Source organism: Homo sapiens, chromosome 4 (assembly GCF_000001405.40).
Source record: "Homo sapiens chromosome 4, GRCh38.p14 Primary Assembly".
Lineage (NCBI taxonomy): Eukaryota > Metazoa > Chordata > Mammalia > Primates > Hominidae > Homo > Homo sapiens.
The window spans coordinates 90,775,878-90,798,362 of NC_000004.12; the positions used below are offsets into that span (position 1 = coordinate 90,775,878).

At 36.7% G+C, this 22,485-nt stretch overlaps 1 protein-coding gene across 33 annotated transcripts in view; it reads left to right on the forward strand.

The window, feature by feature from the left end:
- The window catches only part of CCSER1 (coiled-coil serine rich protein 1), a 1,477,902-nt gene that overhangs the window by 648,484 nt on the left and 806,933 nt on the right, over window positions 1-22,485 (forward strand). For 5 of the 33 annotated variants that reach the window (XM_047415680.1, XM_011531955.3, XM_011531957.3 and 2 more), the window contains one exon: window positions 4,565-6,127. The exons of the other annotated variants lie outside the window; for them this stretch is intronic. Coding sequence is in view for 4 of the 5 variants with exons in the window: in XM_011531957.3 (XP_011530259.1) it covers window positions 4,565-4,588 (24 nt within the window). In the remaining variant the exon portion in view is untranslated. Of the gene's footprint in view, window positions 1-4,564; window positions 6,128-22,485 lie in introns of those variants that run through there. 33 annotated transcript variants of the gene reach the window in all.

Sequence of the window (22,485 nt, forward strand, 5' to 3'; positions counted from 1 at the left end):
CTCCCAATCTAGAATCAACTATCTAGTTGCCATGTGTGTGAAGGAGAGTTGGTTCTGTGCTATGAACAATTAGGAGGCCTGACTTTGGCAAAGACTTCTCCATCATCTAGTTGTACGGCCTTGAGACAGCAGCTTACACAGCATGCAATGCATCTGTCTTTATAAAATGAGGGGGTTAGGCTAGAGCAGTGTATCCCCAAATATGGAAAGTACCAGATAGTAAATTTTATGTTTTCAATAATTCTTGGATACAACAGTAAAACAATTGTACTGTATGAGGTAATGCAATTCCTCTTTTAAATTCCAATTCAATTCTCCTGAAATCAAGGAGGTAAGTTTTGTGCTGTAAGTCTGTAATACACTGGCAAATCTTACTTTTTGTTTTGACAAAGCAGGTAGATCACCTCATAGTTACTAAAAGACAAGGGAGATGTGTTGCTGAACAGAATAATTTTGAATTTAAGTCTTTTGGTTAAAAGAAGAAAATTTCTTGAAAGTTATCTCAAAGATAATAGAAGATTACACAAAAGTCTTAAGAAAATGTTCACAGCTCAAACTGACCTTGTTTTGAACACAAATCCTTATTTGAGAAAGTCTTGCTCCAATTAGTAGACTTAATTAATGTCACCTATTAAGGTAAGCTAGCTATCTATTGAATAAACTTTGGTAATAGACTTTAATGTTAATAGGAAACATGACTTATCATCATAATATCCAACATTTGTTTAATGCTTAACAACTAATGTTTGTTAAATGCTTGGAAGTCAGGTACTCCTAAATTATTTACATGTATTAACACGTTAGTGTTCACCATATAGGTTAATGTTTACAACAACCTTATTAAATAAGCACTAATATTTTCCCCATTTTACAAATGAGGAAACTGAAGTGCCAAGAGATTTGAGCAATTTGAGAAAGGTCAAACAGCTGGTAAATGACAAAGTTTTAAAAATTCTGTAAGTACCCAATACTCTATGCATTTCTCTCTCTTATTGTTTCCTATCTCACCATCCCCAGTAATCCTTAGTTAACTTCATCCTCTCCATTCTCAACCATAAGCTTATATCTTTCAACATTATATTCGCAGTATCTGGCACAAGATAGGCACTCAGAAGGTATTTGTTGAAATTCGTATGAATGATTAACTAATCAATGAATCTGTGCTATAAAACAGACAAATTAAAAATGCCTCTAAGTGCCGGGAGCGGTGGCTCATGCCTGTAATCCCAGCACTTTGGGAGGTTGAGGCGGGTGGATCACCTGAGGGTCAAGAGTTCGAGACCAGCCCAGCCAACATGGTGAAACCCCATCTCTACTAAAAATACAAAAATCAGCCAGGCGTGGTGGTGGGCGCCTGTAATCCCAGCTACTTGGGGGGCTGAGGCAGGAGAATCGCTTGAACCTGGGAGACAGAGGTTGCTGTAAGCTGAGGTAGTGCCATTGTACTCCAGCCTGGGCTACAGAGTGACTCCATCTCAAAAAAAAAAAAAAAAAAAAAAGCCTGTAAGCGTAACTTATTGGACTTTAAGACCTCACACTTAGTACTTCCTATTTTCCTCCTTGACTTAGTTTTCTTCTGATCATCAATTATTAATCATGGATAATTTGAAAACTGTGCTTTCATGAATACTAGAAAACTGTGCTTTCATGTCAGAATGTACAGGTTCAAATGAATATGCCATCACTTATCTCCATCTATATACTTAACTGTGTGACTTTGAAAAATGTATTTAACTTTCTCAGTTTCAGTTTTATTATCTGTACAATATAGATATTAATATCTATTGTATATAGCCAGCAGGATTGTTGTATTAACTACTTTAAACACATTAAAGTGTGTTTAAAACCACCAAGAATTTTCAGCGTATTGTACATGTGTTATGAGGCAATATAACATCATATTGAAATAGCTAGAAATTAAAGCCAAACAGTCCAACTATTGCTGAAGAGTTCTGGGAGATTAGGTAAAATGTTTACACATCTAAAGCATTAATGTCTCAATGCTTAATCACAAAATACAAGTTCCTAACTCAGGGCAATTTTAAGGGCTAGATTTGATAATATGTTCAGAGTGCCTGGCATACAGTTAAAACCAAATAAATATTTGTTGATCTTGTTTGTCATAGTGTTCCTTTTCAAAAAAAAAATGTTTTCTTATTCATTTGGTTTAATATCTGGGGAAATAAAAGACTCAATACTGAATACATTTCCTAGACTATTTTCCTGGAGTTCTCTCAAAAACATAACCACTATTTTTGCCTGTAACCAAATAACTCAGATTATATTATCTTGAACACTGTGCTGCTTAAAGCTATGATTGCAAGTAGTAGAAAATTTAGGACTAACAAAGCTAATTTGTTGAGTCTGTATTTTACACATCAGTGGCAATTGGAAGACTATGATAGGAAGAAAATTTAAACTCTATCCTTGTATTCACAACTCCCTAAATAGAAAGAAATGGAATTCAAGCATTCAAAAAATTTACTGGAGAAGATTAATTTGAAAATAGAATGTGCATGAGTGCATGGATAGATGTATCTCTTCTTGGATGACTGCAAGTAAGCCTTGCTATGAAAATATCTAAGAAGCAAAATTTATTGTAAATAAGTTTTCCATTAAATGGCAGTATCTTATTGGGAATGCATTTCTTAAAAAAAAAAAAACACAAAAAGAAACCCATACACTAACATATTTTTTAAAAAAATCTATCATTCTGCAAACCAACACTTCAGAGATTACACATTTTTTTCTACATCTTGCCATGTGCTTGTGGAGCAAACATTTTTTTGCAGTGAAGCAAATGAACTACATGTGGGATACCATGTTTAAACTAGAAGGCACCCTGCATCCCTCAAGATTCCCAATTCCTTAGAGATAAGGGATAGAGATTGTTGGTTGACTTAAAAAAAAAACTCTTTATTAACTCTAACATTAAACCATATTGAATTAATTTACTATGATTTATTTCAAAACCAGATGTGTTGATAACTTGGTAAAAATTGCTTCAGACAGTATCTGAGCATTTTCCCAGAGTACTAAGGAGCAAATCTATAATTCAGGGCCACTACTATCATCCTAGTTAAATATACTTTATCTCCTTCTTCTAATCCTAGTTGGTATTCTCACTTCCTCTCTTCCAACCTTAACTACTCGTCTTATTTCCCTCAATGGATCTTCCTTTCAGATTTATGCAAATATTATGTCATATCCCTGTTAAAAACCCTTTACTGCTTCATTCATTCTCTGTATTCTTAAGATAAAGTCTAAGAAGCACAAATGATATGACTTATTTTCCAGTATTTCAAGTGCCATTCAATCCAATTGTGCTTTGATATTTCATCTATACTAAATATCTTTTATTTCTTTGAAATTTCTGTGTTCTCTTTTACATATTCAGGTGTTTTCTTCCTCTTTTTCTGTGGTAAAATCTTACTCATGCTTCTTATTTCAAGGTATACATTACTTCTTCAAAAAAGACTGGGCTAGGTTTTCCTGGAATCTAATAATTATCTTACATAACGCTCATCATACTTTAAAAAAAAAAAATCTGCGTCTTGTGCAATTTGAATCTGTCCCTAGCACCATTTTATGTGCTGCTGCATTCTCAGCTCTTTCTTTTCCCAATGGTTAGCATTTAACATTCACTTATTCCTAAATGCTTTACTGAATGAAAGTTAAAGTAATGTGTGTTATGAGTTCAAGCTCACACCAGACGTTCCTCATGGGTTATGCATGTATCCTTACAATTTCAGATTCTGTAGCAGTCACCTTGGTGATCCCCTCCCCACACAGACATTCTTCCTTGACACTGAGCCCACGAGCTGAAAAATACCTGATATTTTTTTGAAGCTACGGCTTAGACATGTGACCCAATCCTGGCCAATGGACCAGAGGAAAAAACTGGATGAAAAGTATACTTGTGAGGAGAAAATGTCTTTCCCCCTATTAAATACAGTTGACTGAGAACATGCTTTTTGGATCTGTATTTGCCTTCCAACAACTCTGAAGAATCAAATCTGAAAACCAACGCCAATCCTGTGCAGATGGGTGAAAATAAAATATATGATATGTGGGCCTTTGATGATTTAAATTATTCTTTAAATAATTCTTGTGCTGCTGAATTAACCGAGCCTGGAACCACTTACCTCTAGTCACCTTGTTATATAAGATAATACATATAGGTTCTATTTCAGCCACTTATAAGTAGGTATCTTTTTATTTACTGTCAAAAGAACCCTCACTGATATAGATGCCCTCAGGACTTGACCCTCCCTGAGTTCCTGTTAGGCAGTTAAGGTAATCATCTGTTGGATTAGGGAAGCCTAGCTTATTTACTTCTCAGTGTGGACAAGTTTGGTCTTTAACTTGTATGCTCTTGTTTTCCAAAAAGGAGATAGACCAGAATCCTAAAAAAGTAAGTCTAAACATTGGTGTCCTTTTACGCTTCCCATCTAAATTATCTTTAAGAACATTTAAGTTTCATTGATGATCCCCAAAATAATTCAAGCAAAATGCTGAGTTGGTAGAATATAAGGACTGTTATTTATTTTTATTGTTTTTACAGACCACATACCCTAGGGAATTCTGAAAACCTGACTAACATCAATTGAAGATTGGGGTTCAGGAGGCCTAGATGATCCACCATGACTTATTCAAAAGTTGAAGATGAAAGGAAAGAATAAAGACTCTTTCCATCCAGTTCTCTAGTCTGAAAGGAAAAGAAATAGGCAAAGGACAGTAGGCTTTTCTATATCATTATATTCATTCAAATGATTCTCTTAAAATAATAATGAACTAAGGAGGCTCTGTAAGCAAGACAAACGGTCAGGAGGCCTCCTTGCTCCAAGAATACTCCCTTTTTACTTTATTAAAATGGTTTGTAAAGGTAAACTAAATTGACTAAAGTATCAATATTTCCATATATGCGTGATCTTTTAGAGACCATAAACTGTCAGTGTATTAGGCTGTTCTTGCATGGCTATAAAGAAATACCTGAGACTAGGTGATTTATAAGAAAAGGGGTATAATTGGCCCACAGTTCTGCAGACTGTACAGGAAGCATAGTAGCATGTGCTTCTGGGGAGGCCTCAGGAAGCTTCCAATCGTGGCGGAAGGCAAAGGGAAGCAGGCACATTGCATGGTGAGAACAGAAACAAGAACAAGGAAGGGTGGCTGGGAGGCGCCACATAATTTTAAATTACCAGATCTCACAAGAACTCACTATCCGGAAGACAGCACCCAGCCATGAGGGATCCACCCTCATGATTCAAACACCTCCCACCAAGCCCCACCTCCAGCACTGGGGATCACAACTCGACATGAGATTTGAGCAGAGACAAATTTCCAAACTATATCACTCAGAATCTGGAATAGAAAGAGTATGCACCATAACACTTTTATTCTCTACAGAAACAGACACTGTGCTGAGCTCAAAAAATAGTGATTCATCAAATATGAATGTGCAAACCTCTTTTGTACTGTATCTGTGGAATCCTGGTTACTGGGGCTTTGAGCCCCTGTCCCATAAAATCTCTGTAATACTAACCTAACTCATGGCATTTCTTTAAAATCAAATTTAATGAAATGATGGACATAAAGCCCATGGAACTGAGTGTGTAATCTTCTCTTATTTGATTAGATGTTAAACTTGAAACACTTTTTTTTGATAAAATATGAAATACATAAATGAGTTAAATTGTTGTGACTTTCCTTATAAGATTGAAAACAATAAGGTGTTTTTAATACTTTTTTTCTGTGTTCTCTTGAAAGTAGCTTTACATGTATTAAGCAATCCTGGCTTTAGATATTAGGGACAATAAAAATATCTGCAATTTTCCCAGTTTTATATAGCCATTGTTTGCAAGTATGAAAACCTGTCTTTTGTTACTGAAATATTATCTTTTATTTTGGCTTTTTTGATAACTTTTATGTTTGCCTTGAGCAAGTCACTTATCTTTTCTATTTGTGTTTTCTATTTCAGTTTATTTATGAAAGACAGTAATAATGATTGTGATGTACCTTACAAAAAAAGATAAAATCGTATTGAAGAGACTGTTGAATATGAACGCAGTGTATTAAATGCCCGATATAGGAACAAAAATAAAATGAAGAACATTTCTATTATAAAGTATTTTCCTAAATAGATTTAGTACTGTGAAAGGCAGTAAAATTATTTCCTGATAAACACTTTCTTGAGTATTCAAGGATTAATTGCCCAGGATAAGAAAAAATCCAGTCTTGATTATATTGCATATTTCCTGGTCGGCCTTCACTGAATAGTTAATTAGAATACCACCAGGAGGCGTCTTCTTGGGTCATAGATGGAATATATTTGTGGGCAAAAAATATTTTTCCTTAAGGAATTTGTAGACTAATCTAAGGAAATAAAAATCAATTTTAACTTCAAATTTCAGCCTAATTAGAAGACAGTAGATCACTCACACATTCATTCATTCATTCAATTAATATTTATTGAACTCCTTCTCTGTGAAAATTATTGGACTAGATGATTTGAGACGTACAATGACAAAATATGACTTCTATCCTCAGATCTTATCGTTAATAGGGAAGTGAAGAAATATATTTAAAAAACTCTATTAAGGCTTTTTTAGTGGGTGTTGAAACAAAGGCAGGGAAAGCAGTTATGAATATTTCTAACCAGATATAAAGGCAGTGGCAATGGGAATTTAAGGAAATGAATGAATTAAAATAATTTTCGGTGAAAAAGGGGATTGTTTGTCAGCTGCATATGGAATGTTGGGAGAAGGTGAGAAGTCAAGGACAGGGATTTCTTTCTTTTCTTTCTTTCTTTTTTTTTTTTTTTTGAGACAGTCTAGCTCTGTCGCCCGGGCTGGAGTGCAGTGGCGCAATCTTGGCTCACTGCAAGCTCCACCTCCCGGGTTCACGCCATTCTCCTGCCTCAGCCTTCCGAGTAGCTGGGACTACAGGTGCCAGCCATCACGCCTGGCTAATTTTTCTGTTTTTAGTAGAGATGGGGTTTCACCGTGTTAGCCAGGATGGTCTCGATCTCCTGTGATCGAGATCCCCCCTCCTCGGCCTCCCGAAGTGCGTTTTGAGACGGAGTCTCGCTCTGCCGCGCAGGCTGGAGTGCAGTGGTGCAATTTTGGCTCACTGCAACACTGTAACCTCTGCCTCCCTGGTTCAAGTAATTCTCCTGCCTCAGCCTCCCGAATAGCTAGGATTACGGGCATAGGCCACCATGCCTGGCTAATTTTTCTATTTTTAGTAGAGATGGGGTTTCACCATATTGGCCAGGCTGGGGGATTTCTGGTTTCTTCTCTAAAAGCTAAAAAGCTTGGAAGGCATTACTCCTTCCAAGCTTATTTATTCCTTAAAATAAGAAAAATTTGAACAAACTGAAAATCAACAATATTTCTTGGGCTCATCAGATAAATTAGGACATAAAACTAACTGCTACTCCCAAATCTAGAAAGGCAGGCGATTATAGAGAAAAGCAGCTAAGATCCGTTTAACTGCAGCAGAAGTCACTGAAACCATAAACTGGTAGGGACACTTAAATGGTAATTCCGATGAAGATCTGACTGAATGCTGAGTGTGGACTAGCTTGAGAGTAAGAAACTCCTGGGGATCACATTCTTAGGGAATCCCGCACACTTTGATGACTCTCACCTCTAGGGATCCCATCAGGTTCTTACGGTAAGGAACTAAGAAAAAGCACCTTTTGTCTTTGTCAGGGATGGGGAAAAGTAACCATCTGAAATATGCCTAGAGAATTCTCTATACATAAGCCTCTTCCAAGGAGAAAACACTTTACCAGTCAAATATTTATCTCACCAAGGAGAAAGAATTCTTACTGAATTCCAGGCCTCTCTAACCTTTCTGTCCACATTACATAGAAGAAATAAAACTGTGATGGTTAATTTTATAATATGTGCCAATTTAATACACTAAGAAAGACACAGCCCAGGGATACAGGCCCACTTAAGACCAGCTGTAATTGTAAGATTATAGAATGTTTTCCCTCCCCAACTTTTTAACACCACATCAACAGGACTCCAGTATAATAAGTGAATTATAGCTGAGAGAGCTGGAAAGCACATGCTGCAACTTACAAAAAAAAAGAAAAAAAACTCATTAATACAAGAATGAGAGTCAGGAATAGTAGTCAGAATCACAGAATTTTTGTTGCTATTTGTTGTCATTACATTTATTTATTGAAAGGTAAAATATTAAGCCAGTTTAAAGACTGAGATAAATAGGAGAGAGTAAATAAGCTAAAAGTTACTCCAAATTAGAGGACTTTCCTTATGTAGTAGCATTCTGAGTGAAGAAGTGCTCAACCTTGCCCATACTGTTCCTCGTTTCATATGCACGTGACTAGCTGAATAATTCTTGAAAAACCTGTCTTTTCCCCATCATCCTGGATAATGGAAAGTGTTCTCTATATGAAGACAATTTATAGCACACTGTGATTATAATAACAAATAGCATACCAGTTATCATAAATGCATATGCTGATTTTATATATTTTGGTAATCATTCCTTTATTCAACTGATTTTCAATAACAATGTGTTCCAAAAGTGAGGTTACAAGGATGAAAATGATGTGTTCTAATTCACATCTCTAGTTGGTTTTGATAAGTCTGGAGCTGTGGAATGAGAAGGAGTGGGAGGGGACTATAAATCTTTGAAATGCTTCCCAGATGATTTAGAAAAAATTTACTTCCACACCCTACTGAAAACTACCTATCTAGTTTGTTATGCATATACCTCAGTATCCATATATTTCACTACATTTGACCCTTGAACAACAAGGGAGATAGAGGCACCAACCCTCATGCAGTTGAAAATCCATGTATAACTTTTGATGCCCCTCAACCTTAACTACTAACAGTCTACTGTTGACTAGAAGTCTTACTGATAACATAAACATGGTTGATTAACATGTATTTTGTTTATGTATTATATACTGTATTCTTAAAGTAAGCTAGAGAAAAGAAAATGTTTTTAAGGAAATCATAAGAAAAAGAAAATATATACTATTCATTAAGTGGAAGTAGATTATCATAAGCATCTTTATCTTCATCCTCGTCACATTGAGTGGGCTGAGGAGGAACAGGAAGATGAAGGGTTGGCCTTGCTTTCTCAGGGGTGGAAGAGGCAGAAGAATATTCACTTATAAGTGGATCTACACAGTTCAAACCTGTATATTATTATTTTTGAGATGGAGTGCAGTGGCATGATCTCAGCTCACTGCAACCTCTGCCTCCAGGGCTCAAGGGATCCTCCCACCTCAGCCTCCCAAGTATATGGGACTGCAGGGATGTACCACCATGCCCAGCTAATTTTTGTATTTTTTTATGGAGATGGGGTTTCACCATGTTGTCCAGGCTGGTCTGGAACTCCTGGGCTCAAGCAATCCACCCTCCTTCGCCTCCCAAATTACAGGCATGAGCCACCACGCCCAGCCCAAACCTGTATGTACATTAAGGGTCAACTGTATGTAGTTTTCTTGTTATTATGTTATAATCCTGTGACTTGACTGGCTCTCTTTTTAAGATGCTAGATGTTGTGCAGCTGGATAAAGTTCAAGTGGCAATGGAAGAACAGGAATCATATTTACATTGATAATCAAAGTGAATAGAAAAGTCTATTACTTTCAAGATAATATAATACCATTAAAGTGCAAATCTCTCAATGTGACAAATTCTGAAAAATACAGTTTCTATGTTCGAGCAAAATAATTTGACAATTATTGACAGAAATAAGGTACCATTTACCTTTATGAAATGTTAGTTTCTAAATAAATCTCAATCCAATGCCAATTAAAACTATACGTTTAATTTGTATGTTTTAATAAGTTGTCAATTTTTTTTTACAATGTTAACATTTTAGTAGATTTTACAGTAACATCTTTTTGAACTGTGACTGTGTTTTTTAATTTAATGAACAAAATGAGTATTGCTTTTCTACTTGTAAAGTGTTATTAATATCCAAAGGATTAACAAATGCCATTTTTTTCTGCAATTGCTTGTTATTTAGGCTTTTTCATCAACATTTGTTATGTAGCAAATACTCATATAGTTTGCATTTTGTGGAGCTGAGAGGTACTTATGTAAAATTGTTTCCAAACTTTACCTTCTCCCTATTCTCTAAAACAAATTTCTGGCCTGGTCGACTTCAATTCTTTTACTCCGTAGCTACAGTCTGAATGGGGCTGAGGGGGATTCTTCTTTGTCAGATACTTTCTCAAGGGCTTTCATAATGCAGAATCAAAAGGAAAGCTGGGCAGATAGAAAGACGATGGCTCCTAAGCAATGTTCTGTAGGGCACGTGGAAGCGCAACTGAAGTGATTCAAGGAAACTGATAGAGGAGAAAAGGGCAATATTAGAAACTACTGTGGTGAACTATGTGTTCTAATAATGATGTTCAAGATATACAAATGAAGATCTTCAGTTGTTGTGAATTTTCTTTTTTGGTCTGAATATTTTCTTTGGAACACAGTAATACTCAGAAACTATAACATGGTTCCAATAGGTTATATGATTACTAAATATCTCTTAATAAATATTTTATTTCCCAGATAATGTATTTTTTCTAGTACTTAGAGCCTTTAATACTGTAATCATTTTACTCAAAGTTTAGAAATTAAAAAAAATTAAATCACACATAAATCTAAAACTCTAGTAAAATAATTGTCATAATTTTGCATATTTTCAGGTTTTTCATTTAAAATTCCATTTACAAACAAAGTGTATTTTCCATTTACCACATGGACTTTTGTGTACAGAAAATCTCTCTGTTTTTCCTCTACTCTCATACCACAGCGATCAACAATGAAGACATCTGTGACCAAATGTGTCTGTATGGTGGGAGGGTTCCCCACACAGAGCAGCAGACACCAGCTGGGTATCCTCTAATGCAATTCTGATGCTATCTTCCTGAAGATACTGTCAGATCCAATAGATTGGGGGCTCATTCCCCAAGAGTCCTCTTCAGACATCAGTTGCAAGTCTGGCCCTCTGAACATCTGAGTGACCAGCTTCAAGCTGAGGTTTCTATAACCCCCTTTTTGTGTTGGATTAACTTTCTGGAGTGGCTCACAGAACTCAGGGAATCACTAACTTAATTTACCAGTTTATTATAAAGAATATTCCAAAGGATACAGATGAAGTGACCATAGAGTGAGGTATGGGGGAAGGGACACAGAGCTTCCTTGCCCACCCTGGGCACGCCTCCTTCTAGGAACTCTACACCTTCATTCAGATATCCTAAAGCTCTTAGAACTTAGTTCTCTTGGATTTTTATGGAAGCATTCCTTCCTCCAGGATATGAGGTGGGACCCTCTCAGGGGAAGGACTTAATACAATTAGAAAAGCAGGGGAAGATTAGAGTCCTGCCCCAAGAAAGAAAGGAGAGAGATTCTGTTTCCTGAGGCCTTTCCCTGAGATCTAATGCACCCATTATAACAAAAGACTGTAGCAAAGGCCACGGAGTTATGAGCCAGGAACTGTGGATGAAAACCAATATATATTCAATCATAACACTACAACTTTGTGACTATTTTTTTGAATGCATAATTTTCAGTGAAAACATTTACTATCATTGAATAACAATTTTTTAATGGTTGTTTACTTAGGTTGCTTTCAACATTTAGACATTACAATGCTGGTTATCTGTCATGTGGCCTCTAGTTTTCAGTCTTCAAAGATGTTTTCTTTTAATTAATAAGGCACAGATGGAATGGAGATCGAGTATGTGTAGCAGGGTATTTATTCAAATTTTTTCCCATGTCTGGAGGTGATACTTCTCTTACAACTTGATTATGTGTGAAAAGGAATTTGAACAATTGTATGTCTCCATGAACTTCATCATGTACTGATTAGAGGTCAAAGTGACCTTGACCTTGATGAGATTGTCTAGACATTTTGACCGGCATTTTGACTGGCATTGTCTAGATATTTTGACTAGAAAGTGGTGACGCTTCCTAAATGTGGTTGGTGGCTGCTCAACTCTCTACAAGAAGTAGGGTCCACCACAGTAAGTTTTGCAGTTTATCTGAATGATTAGATGAGTATAGTGTGAAGGTTAAACTACTGCTACATACACTGACTTAAGTAGGCAGCTGCTTATGAATCAAGTTGTGACTAAAATATGCACAGATAAGGGTACTTTATTTTTATAACTTAAATAAAAAACCTATTACTATTATATTAGAAATCCTGATAAGCCCATCAATTTCTAATATTATCCTATGTTAGAAATAAGAATAAGCACTTGGAGAGCTTTGAGGTGAAAGACTAAGGTAGAAAATGATCATGGGTTATGTACTCTATTTTTTTACATCCATTCTTCTTTTTCTTTTTTCATTTATCAGTTATTGAAAAATCAGATATCAACTCAATTACTTATATATGATCTATAAAGTGTAGCCATTGAAAATTATGGGTGTGTCTATGTATTAGTTTCCTAAGGCTGTCAAAAAAAGTACTACAAACAAACTGAGTGGCTTAGACAATGGAAATCTATTGTCACAGTTCTAGAGGCTAGAATTCTGAGATGAAGGTGTTGGTAGGACCAAGCATCCTTTAAAGGTGCTAGGGAAGGATCTATTCTGGACCTCAAGCCTGGTATCTGGTAGTTTCTTGGTTTGTGATGGCATAACTCCAATCTTCACATGGTGGTTCCCTGTAGGTGTCCTTTGTGTCCAAATTTCCCCTTTTTAATAAGGAAACTAGTCATTGTAAAAAGGCTCACTTCCCTCCAGTATTTTCTCTTTTTAACTAATGATGTCTGCAAAGACCTTATTTCCAAATAATATATCCTGACTTACCAGGAGTTGGGACTTCAACATAGGAATTGGACAGGGGGCCGGGGAGAAACAATTCAATCATTAACAATCAATTACATAGTTAAAGTTCATTAGAAAGGCGATCCTTTATCATTGACTGACTCACTGTCAATAAAAGATTAGTTTATTTCCTTGGTTTACAGATAGTTCTCTGCCTAGTTATGTACTGAATCTCATTCTTTCTTAACACCTGAAAGATTTTCCTCCCCCAGGCATTCCTCTTTCCCTGGTATTTTTAAATCACTGGATCATTTTCATCAGTGTTTAAACTTGATTAAGCTTTTCTATCTAACACATACACACACACACACACACACCATCTCAATCTTGTTAACAACTATTCTGTTCACAAGTTTATTGAAAGAAGCTTGCCTTCTGATAATTATGTAGTTGGTAGCTCACTACTTTTTACTTTCAGTTTATTTCTGAACTCTCTGTAATCTGGACTCTGCTTCCAAAACACCATCCAGAGCAGCTTTGATAATGTCAACAGTGACTTACTTTTTTAATAAGCCTGGTGAAAACTATTCAGTCTTAGTTTATTTCCTCTCTGTTATGTCTAACATAATTGATCTCACTCTCCTTCTTAAATTTGTTTGCTCCCAAAGCTATTGTGACACCCTAATTTATTTTTTCTCTTTTGTTTGTTTTCATTTTTCTTCACAATCACTTTTTTGTTTTTCAACTGTTTATTTTCTACTACATGAATATCCTAGTGATTCTCAAATCTCCATTTTCTGATCAGATATTTCTCTTTTGAGCTCATACTCACGTAGCCAATGTCTACTGATATGGTTTGGCTCTGTCCCCACCCAAATCTCATCTTGAATTGTAACTCCCATAATTCTCACTTCCCACATGTCTTTGGAAGAACTCGGTGGGAGGTAATTGAATCATGGGGGCACATCTTTTCCTGTGCTGTTCTTGTAATAGTGAATAAGTCTCATGAAATCTGACAGTTTTAAAAAGGGGAGTTCACCTGCACTAGCTCTTTCTTCTTGCCTGCTGCCATTCATGTAAGATGTGACTTGCTCCTCCTTGCCTTCTACCATGATTATGAGGCCTCCCCAGCCATGTGGAACTGTAAGCCCATTAAACTTCTTTTACTTCCTAGTCTTGAGTATGTCTTTATCAGCAGCGTGAAAATGGACTAATACACCTACTATATTTCTTCGGCTGGATTTTATAAGGAACATTTCAATTGAACTCATTATATATTTTACCTTAAAATTCCACCTGAAATTTTATTTGCTCTCAACAGGAGTGAGCAATACTTCCATTCCACTAGTATACATGCCAAAACATAAAGTTATTCTTGACTCTCCCTTCTCATTTGCCTCTCTCTACTCCACCCATATCTGTAGAGTCCATCTTCTAAGTAGCTTTCAAATTCACCTCCATAACCCATCTTAGTTTAAATCTTAATTATTTCTGTGTGAATTATTAAAATAACCTTTTTAACAGTCTTTAGCCTTGGTCCTATGCAGCCTTTTCTTTATAATATCCTCAGCAAACTACTGCAGGAGTAATTTATACTGTACCCAGAGTAAACTGCATAAATTTAAATATGATTATAATTTTCCATGATTAAAATTTATTATTGATATACCATAGCCTTCTGAATAAAACATAATTTATTGTTATGGAATAAATGACTATGATTTGGTTTCTTTTGGTTTCTCTTTGCCAAGGTATACCTCTCCACATAAGTATACTAAAATACTTGTTCCCCAAACTCTTGCCTCCAGGAATTTTAATGTTCCTACCTTTGCTTAGAAAATACTTGGCTTTCTTTTATCTTTTACTAATTCCTTCTGACCATTGGGATTCTGGATACATTTTTTTTCCCCCCAGAATGCTTTCTCTGACTCTACTACCTTGGTCTATGTGTTTGTTTTCTTTTGCTGTGAGGCAAATTACTACAAACTGGAACTTCCCAACAAGTTTCTCATCTCCATCTGAGACCACTTCAGCTTGCACTTCATTGTCCAGATCACTATCAGCATTTTGGTCAAAGTCATTCAACAAGTCTCTAGGAAGTCTCAAACTTTCCCACATCCTCCTGTCTTCTGAGCCCTCCAAGTCTCTAGGAAATTCCAAGCTTTCCCACATTTTCCTGTCTTCTTCTGAGGCCTCCAAACTGTTCTGACCTCTGCCTGTTACCCAGTTCCAAAGTCACTTCCACATTTTCAGGTATCTTAATAGCAGCACCCCACTCTCTGCAGTATGAATGTACTGTATTAGTCTGCTCTCATGCTGCTATGAAGAAGTACTCAAGATTGAGTGATTTATAAAGAAAAGAGATTTAATTGATCCACAGTTCTGCATTGCTGTGGGGGGCTTAGGGAACTTACAGGCATGGCAGAAAGCACCTCTTCACAGGGCAGCAGGAAAGAGAATGAGTGTTGAGCGAAGGAGGATGCCCCTTATAAAACCATGAAATCTCATGAGGACTTACTATCATGAGGCTACCATGGGGGGAAACTGTCCCAATGATTCAATTACCTCCCACTGGGTCTTTCCCATGACATGTGGGGATTAAGGGAACTACAATTCAAGATGAGATTTGGGTAGGGACACAGCTAAACCACAGCAGTGGGTAAAATGCCATCAAACCACATTGCATGCTGCAGAGTAATCTTTTGTGGAAAGAAGAGTCAACAAATGTGGTAAACTTCATTCTCTTACTTTAAGAAATTGCCACAGCCACCCCAGCCTTCAATAACCATCACCCTGATCAGTCAACAGCCATCAACATTGAGGCAAGACCCTCCACCAACAGAAAGAGTACAACTCTTTGAAGGTTCAGATGATTATTATTTTTAATAACATATTTTTAAATAAAGATACACACTTTTAGCCGGGTGCAGTGGCTCATACCTGTAATCCCAGCACTTTGGGAGGCCAAGGCGGGCGGATCACGAGGTCAGGAGATCAAGACCATCCTGGCTAACACAGTGAAACCCCATCTCTACTAAAAATACAAAAAATTAGCCAGCTACTTGGGAGGCTGAGGCAGGAGAATGGCTTGAACCTGGGAGTTGGAGCTTGTAGTGAGCCGAGATCGCGCCACTGCACTGCAGCCTGGGCTACACAGCGAGACTGTCTCAAAAAAAAAAAAAACACACACACACACACGTTTATAAGATGTAATGCTATTGAACACTTAATAGGCTAAAGTATAGGCTAAATGTAAGTTTTATATGCACTGGGAAACCCAAAAATTCATCAAAATAAAACAGTTTATTGTGATATTTACTTTATTGCAGTTGCCTTGAACCAGTCCCACAGTATCTCAGAGGTATGCCCATATATAGTATTGGTTTATGTTGTGTAACTATAATCTGTAGCTTCAGCTAATGTTCATTGCCTTCTTGCAGTTCAGTTTTTTGACTTTGCAGAATCCCTGATACCAGTGTTTAAGGTGAGTCATATTATCTGTAATTCCTGCACAGCACAATGTTGACATCTCTGCTTTTTTTTCTCTTGGAAATTTTATATTGATGCTCGAGTCCATGAAACATTTCTGAAGCGTTACTTATTTTTGTATTCTTCTTCATTGTCACAATTCAGCACCCCATAAAATAGGGTACTATGTATATTTTAGGATCTGCCAGTATTAGGAAAGTCTTTTCTCTCTAGTTTTTACTCTCCTTTGTTATCATATAAAACCTGAAGGGCTTTACTTTCTCTTTTTTATCTAAAAACTGCATATGTATTCCCAAGCACTGCCCAATGTTATTCACGCTGTCCTTTCCCTGTGTCTGAAATGTACAGGGCCCCAGAGATGGCTCAGCTTCTTTCTTCCAGGAGGATGGCAGAAGGGTGCCTACTACCTATAGCAAAGCCCTTGTCAGCACTGTGTCCTGTGAGATTTAGCGATTCTTTTGATGATGTGACAGAATACATGGACACTCAGACAGATAAAAGGCAGAACTCTTTGTTACTTACAGCTCAAAGGAAAGAAGGCTGCCCTGTAGGACCATGCAATAGGTTGCACGTCGGGGCAGGATAGCAGCAAGCTGGAGCTGAGGGTGGCAGCTTGTGCCAGGCAGGCAAGGTGGGCAATGCCTAGTTGAACAGATTTCCTGTGGCTAGACTAATTTAGATACTTCCAAGGGCTCTGGGGAATAGGGGCTGTCCCTAGTTGCCTGGTACTTGGCCTGGTGGATGGAGTAAAGGGGAGTGCTGATAGGGCTGGTACCTGGAGTGTGAGAGCCTGATAAGGGAAGTGTTTGGAGTGCAGATGTTTCAGCTGATAAAGAAGGGGTAATAACTGGACTCTGGCCAGGCCTCAAAACTGGGTCAAGGCAGCATTTAAAAAATAAAAACAAAACAAAACAAAAACTGTGTTACACACTTCTAGAAGGTAATGGAGATGTGTTTGATGTCTTTGAATACCTTTTTTCTACCAAGAAAGTAAGTTCATAGTGATGTTCAAACATAATTTCTTACTTTTTTTTTCTTTTTTAAATTTAACTTTCATTTAAGTTCAAGGATACATGTGCAGGTTTGTTATGTAGGTAAACTTGTGTCATGGGCATTTATGGTACAGATTATTTTGTCACCCAGGTATTAAGCCTAGTATTCATTAGTTATTTTTCCTGATCCTTTCCCTCCTCCCACCCTGCAGCCTCCAATAGGCCCCAGTGTGTGTTGTTCCCCACTATGTGTCCATGTGTTCTTATCATTTAGCTCCCACTTATAAGTGAGAACATGCAGTATTTGGTTTTCTTTTCCTTTTTTGTTGAGGATAATGGCCTCCATCCATGTTACTGCAAAGGACGTAATCTTATTCTTTTCTATTGCTGCATGGTATTTCATGATGTTTATATACCACATTTTTTCTATCCAGTCTGCCATTGATGGACATTTAGGTTGATTCCACGTCTTTGCCATTGTGAATAGTGCTGCAATGAACATATGTGTGCATGTGTCTTTATAATAGATTTATATTTGTTTGAATATATACCCAGGAATGGGATTGCTGTGACAAATGGTATTTCTGTTTTTAGGTCTTTGAAGAATCACCACAGTGTCTTCCACAATGGTTGAACTAATTTACACTCCCACCAACAGCGTATAAGCATTTCGTGTCCTCTGCAACTTTGCCAGAAGCTGTTATTTTTTGACTTCTTAATAACACATACCATTCTGTGAGGTGGTGTCTCATTGTGGTTTTGATTTGCATTTCTCTAATGATCAGTGATGTTGAGCTTTTTTGATATGATTGTTTGCTGAATGTATGTCTTCTTTTTGAGAAGTGTCTGCTCATGTCCTTTGTACACTTTTTAATGGGGTTGTTTTTGTCTTGTAAGTTTGTTTTAGTTCCTTACAGATGCTGGGTATTAGACCTTTATCAGATGCATAGTTTGCAAAAATATTCTCTCATTCTGTAGGTTGTCTGTTTACTCTGTTGATACTTTCTTTTACTATGCAGAAGGTCTTTTGTTTAATTAGATGCCATTTGTCCATTTTTGCTTTTGTTGTAATTGCTTTTGGTGTTTTCATAATGAAATATTTGCCCATGCCTATGTCCTGAATGGTATTGCCTAAGTTGTCTTCCATGGCTTTTATAGTTTTGAGTTTTACATTTAAGTCTTTAATCCATCTTGAGTAGATTTTTGTATATGATGTAAGGAAGAGGTCCAGCTTCAATCTTCTGCATATAGCTATCCAGTTATCCCAGCACCATTTATTGAATAAGGAATCCTTTCACCATTGCTTGTTTTTGTCAGGGTTGTTGAAGATCATATATTTGTAGCTGTGTGGCCTTATTACTGGGTTCTCTGTTTTGTTCCATTGGTCTAAGTGTCTGTTTTGTACCAGTACCATGCTGTTTTGGTTACTGTAGCCTGTATCATAGTTTGAAGTTGGGTAGCTTGATGCCTCCAGCTTTGTTCTTTTTGCTTACAATTGCCTTTGATATTCAGGCGTTCTTTTTTTTCCTTGTTCCATTTGAATTTTAAAATAGCATTTTCTGGTTCTGTGAAGAATGTCAGTGGTAGATTAATAGGAATAGCATTGAATCAGTAAATTGCTTTGGGCACTATGGCTATTTTAATGATATTAATTATTCCTATCTATGAGCATGGAATGTTTTCCCATTTGTTTGTGTCATCTGTGATTTCTTCGAGAAGTGTTTTGTAGTTCTCTTTGTAGAGGTCTTTCACTTCCCTTGTTAGCTGTATTTCTAAGTATATTTTTGTGTGTGTGTGGCAACTGTAAATTGGATTGCATTCCTGATTTGGCTCTCAGCTTGACTTTTATTGGTGTATAGAAATGTTACTGATTTCTGGCTGGGTGCGGTGGCTCACACCTGTAATCCCAGCACTTTGGGAGGCAGAGGGTGGGCTGATCACAAGGTCAGGAGTTCGAGACCAGCCTGGCCAACATGGTGAAACCCCATCTCTACTAAAAATACAACTTAGCTAGGCGTGGTTGCGGGCACCTGTAATCCCAACTACTCGGGAGACTGAGGCAGAAGAATCACTTGAAACCAGAAAGCAGAGGTTGCAGTGAGCCGAGATCGTGCCACTGCACTGCAGCATGGGCAACAAGGGCAAAACTCTGTCTCAAAAAAAAAAAAAAAAAGGAAACAAAGAAATGTTCGTGATTTCTGCACATTGATTTTGCATCCTGAGACTTTGCTGAAGTTGTTTATCAGCTTAAGGAGCTTTTGGGCTGAGATTATGGGGTTTTCTAGATATAGGATCATGCTTTCTGCAAACAGGGATAGTTTGACATCCTATCTTCCTATTCGGATGTCCTTTATTTCTTTCTCTTGCCTGATTATCCTGGCCAGGACTTTCAATACTATGTTGAATAGGAGTGGTGAGAGAAGGCATCCTTGTCTTTTGCTGGTTTTTCAGGAGAATGCTTCCAGCTTTTGCCCATTCAGTGTAGCGTTGGCTGTGGGTTTGTCATAGATGGCTCCTATTATTTTTAGGTATGTTCCTTCAATACCTAGTTTATCAAAAGTTTTTAACATGAAAGAGTGTTGAGTTTTATTGAATGCCTTTTCTGCATCTATTGAAATAATTATGTGGGTTTTGTCTTTAGTTCTGTTTATGTGATGAATCACATTTATTTATTTGTGTATGTTGAACCAACCTTACATCTCATGGATAAAGCCTACTTGATTATGGTGGATAAGCATTTTGATGTGCTGCTGGATTTGTTTTGCCAGTATTTTTTTGAGAATTTGTGCATCAATGTTCATAAAAAATATTGGCCTGAAGTTTTTTGTTGTTGTGTCTCTGCCAGGTTTTGGTGTCAGGATGATGCTGGCTTCATAGAATGAGTTAGGGAGGAGTCTCTCCTTCTCAGTTATGTGGGATAGTTTCAGGAAGAAACATACTGGCTCTTCCTGTACATCTAGTGGAATTCAGCTGTGAATCCATCTGGTCCTGGGCTTTTATTGTTTTGAAGGCTATTTGTTATTGATTCAATTTCAGAGCTTATTATTCGTCTGTTCAGGGATACCATTTCTTCCCGTGCTCAGTATTGGGAGGGTGTATTTGTCCAGGATTTATTCATTTTTTCTAGATTTTCTAGTTTATGTTCATAGAGGTATTAATAATATTTTGATTTTTTTTTGTATTTCTGTGGGGTCAGTGGTAATACCTTCTTTGTTGTTTCTGTTTATTTGGATATTATCTCTTTTCTTCATTAGTGTAGCTAGTGGTATATCTATTGTACTAAATTTAAAAAAAAAAAAAAAAACAGCTCTTGGATTTGTGGATCTTTTGAAGGGTTTTTCTTGTCCCCATCTCCTTCAGCTTTGATTTTAGTTATTTCTTGTCTTCTGCTAGCTTTGTGATTTGTTTCCTCTTGATTTTCTACTTCTTTTAGTTGTGATGTTAGGTTGTTAACTTGAGATCTTTCTAACTTTTTGATGTGGGCATTTAGTGCTATAATTTTCCCTCTTAACACCACCTTATCTGTGTCCCAGGGATTCTGGTACATTGTGTCTTTTTTCTCATTTATTTCAAAGAACTTTCTGATTTCTTCCTGAATTTTATTATTTACCAAAAAGTCATTCAGGAGAAAGTTTTTCAATTTTAATGTAATTATATGGTTTTGAGTTAATTTCTTAGTTTTGACTACTAATTTGATTGTACTGTGGTTCAAGACATTGTTTTTTATGATTTCAGTTCTTTTGCATTTGCTAAGGAGTGTTTTACTGCTACTGATTTTGTTATCAATTTTAGAGTATGTGCCATGTGACAATGAAAAGCATGTATATTCTGTTCTTTTGGGGTGGAAAGTTCTGTAGATGTCTATTAGATCCATTTGATCCAGTGCTGAGTTCGTGTCTTGAAGATCTTTGCTTATTTTCTGTCTTGGTGATCTAATATTGTCAGTGGGATGTTAAAGTCTCCCATGATTATTATGTGAGAGTCAAAGTCTCTTTGAAGGTCTCCAATAACTTGATTTATGAATCTGGGTACTCCTATGTTGGGTGCATATATATTTAGGTTAGCTAGATCTTATTGTTGTATTGAACCCTTTACCATTATGTATTGTCCTTGTCTTTTATTTTTATATTTGTTGGTTTAAAGTCTGTTTTGGCTGAAACTAGGATTGCAACCCTACTTTTATCTGTTTTCCATTTGCTTGGTAGATTTTTCTGCATCCCTTTATTTTGAACCTACGTCATTGCATGTGAGATTAGTCTCTTGAAGACAGCATACCAATGGGTCTTCTGATTCCTTATCCAGCTTGCCACTCGGTGCCTTTTAACTGGGGAATTTAGCCCATTTACATTCAAGGTTAATATGGATATTTATGGATTTGATTCTGTTATGATGTTAACTGTTTATTTTGCTACTTGTTTATGTGGTTGCTTCATAGTGTCACTGATCTGTAATTTAGTTTATTTTTGTAGTAGCTGCTAATGGTTTTTCCTTTCTGTATTTAGTGCTTCCTTCAGGAGCTCTTGTAAGGCAAGTCTGGTGGTAACAAATTCCCTCAGCATTTGCTTGTCTGAGAAAGATCTTATTTCTCCTCCTCTTATGAAGCTTAGTTTGACGAGGTATGAAATTCTGGGTTGGAATTCTTTTCTTTAAGAATATTGAATATAGGCCGCCAATGTCTTTTGGCTCATAGGGTTTCTGCTGAGATGTCTGCTGTTAGCCTGATGGGCTTCCCTTTGTAGGTGACTTGGCCTTTCTCTCTAGCTCCCTTTAACATTTTGTTCTTTCATTTCAACCTTGGAGAATCTGAAGATTATGTCTGTTGGGGATGATCTTCTTATAAAATGTGTTATTGTGGTTCTCTGCATTTTATGAATTTGAATGTTGGCCTCTCTAGGTAGGTTGCTGAAGTTCTCATGGATAATACTCTGATTTATGTTTTCCAAGTTGGCTCTATTCTCCTGATATTTTTCAGGTACACCAAAGAGTTGTAAGTTTGGTCTCTTTACGTAATGCCGTATTTCTCAGAGGTTTTGTTTGCTCATTTTCATTCTTTTTTCTCTATATTTGTCTGACTGCCTTATTTCAGAAAGTCAGTCCTCAATTCATGAGATTCTTTCCTTTTCTTGGTATATTCTGCTGTTGATACTTGTGATTGCATTATGAAATTCCTGTAGTGTGTTTTTCAGGTCTATCATGTTGGTTACATTATTTTCTATATTGGCTATTTTGTC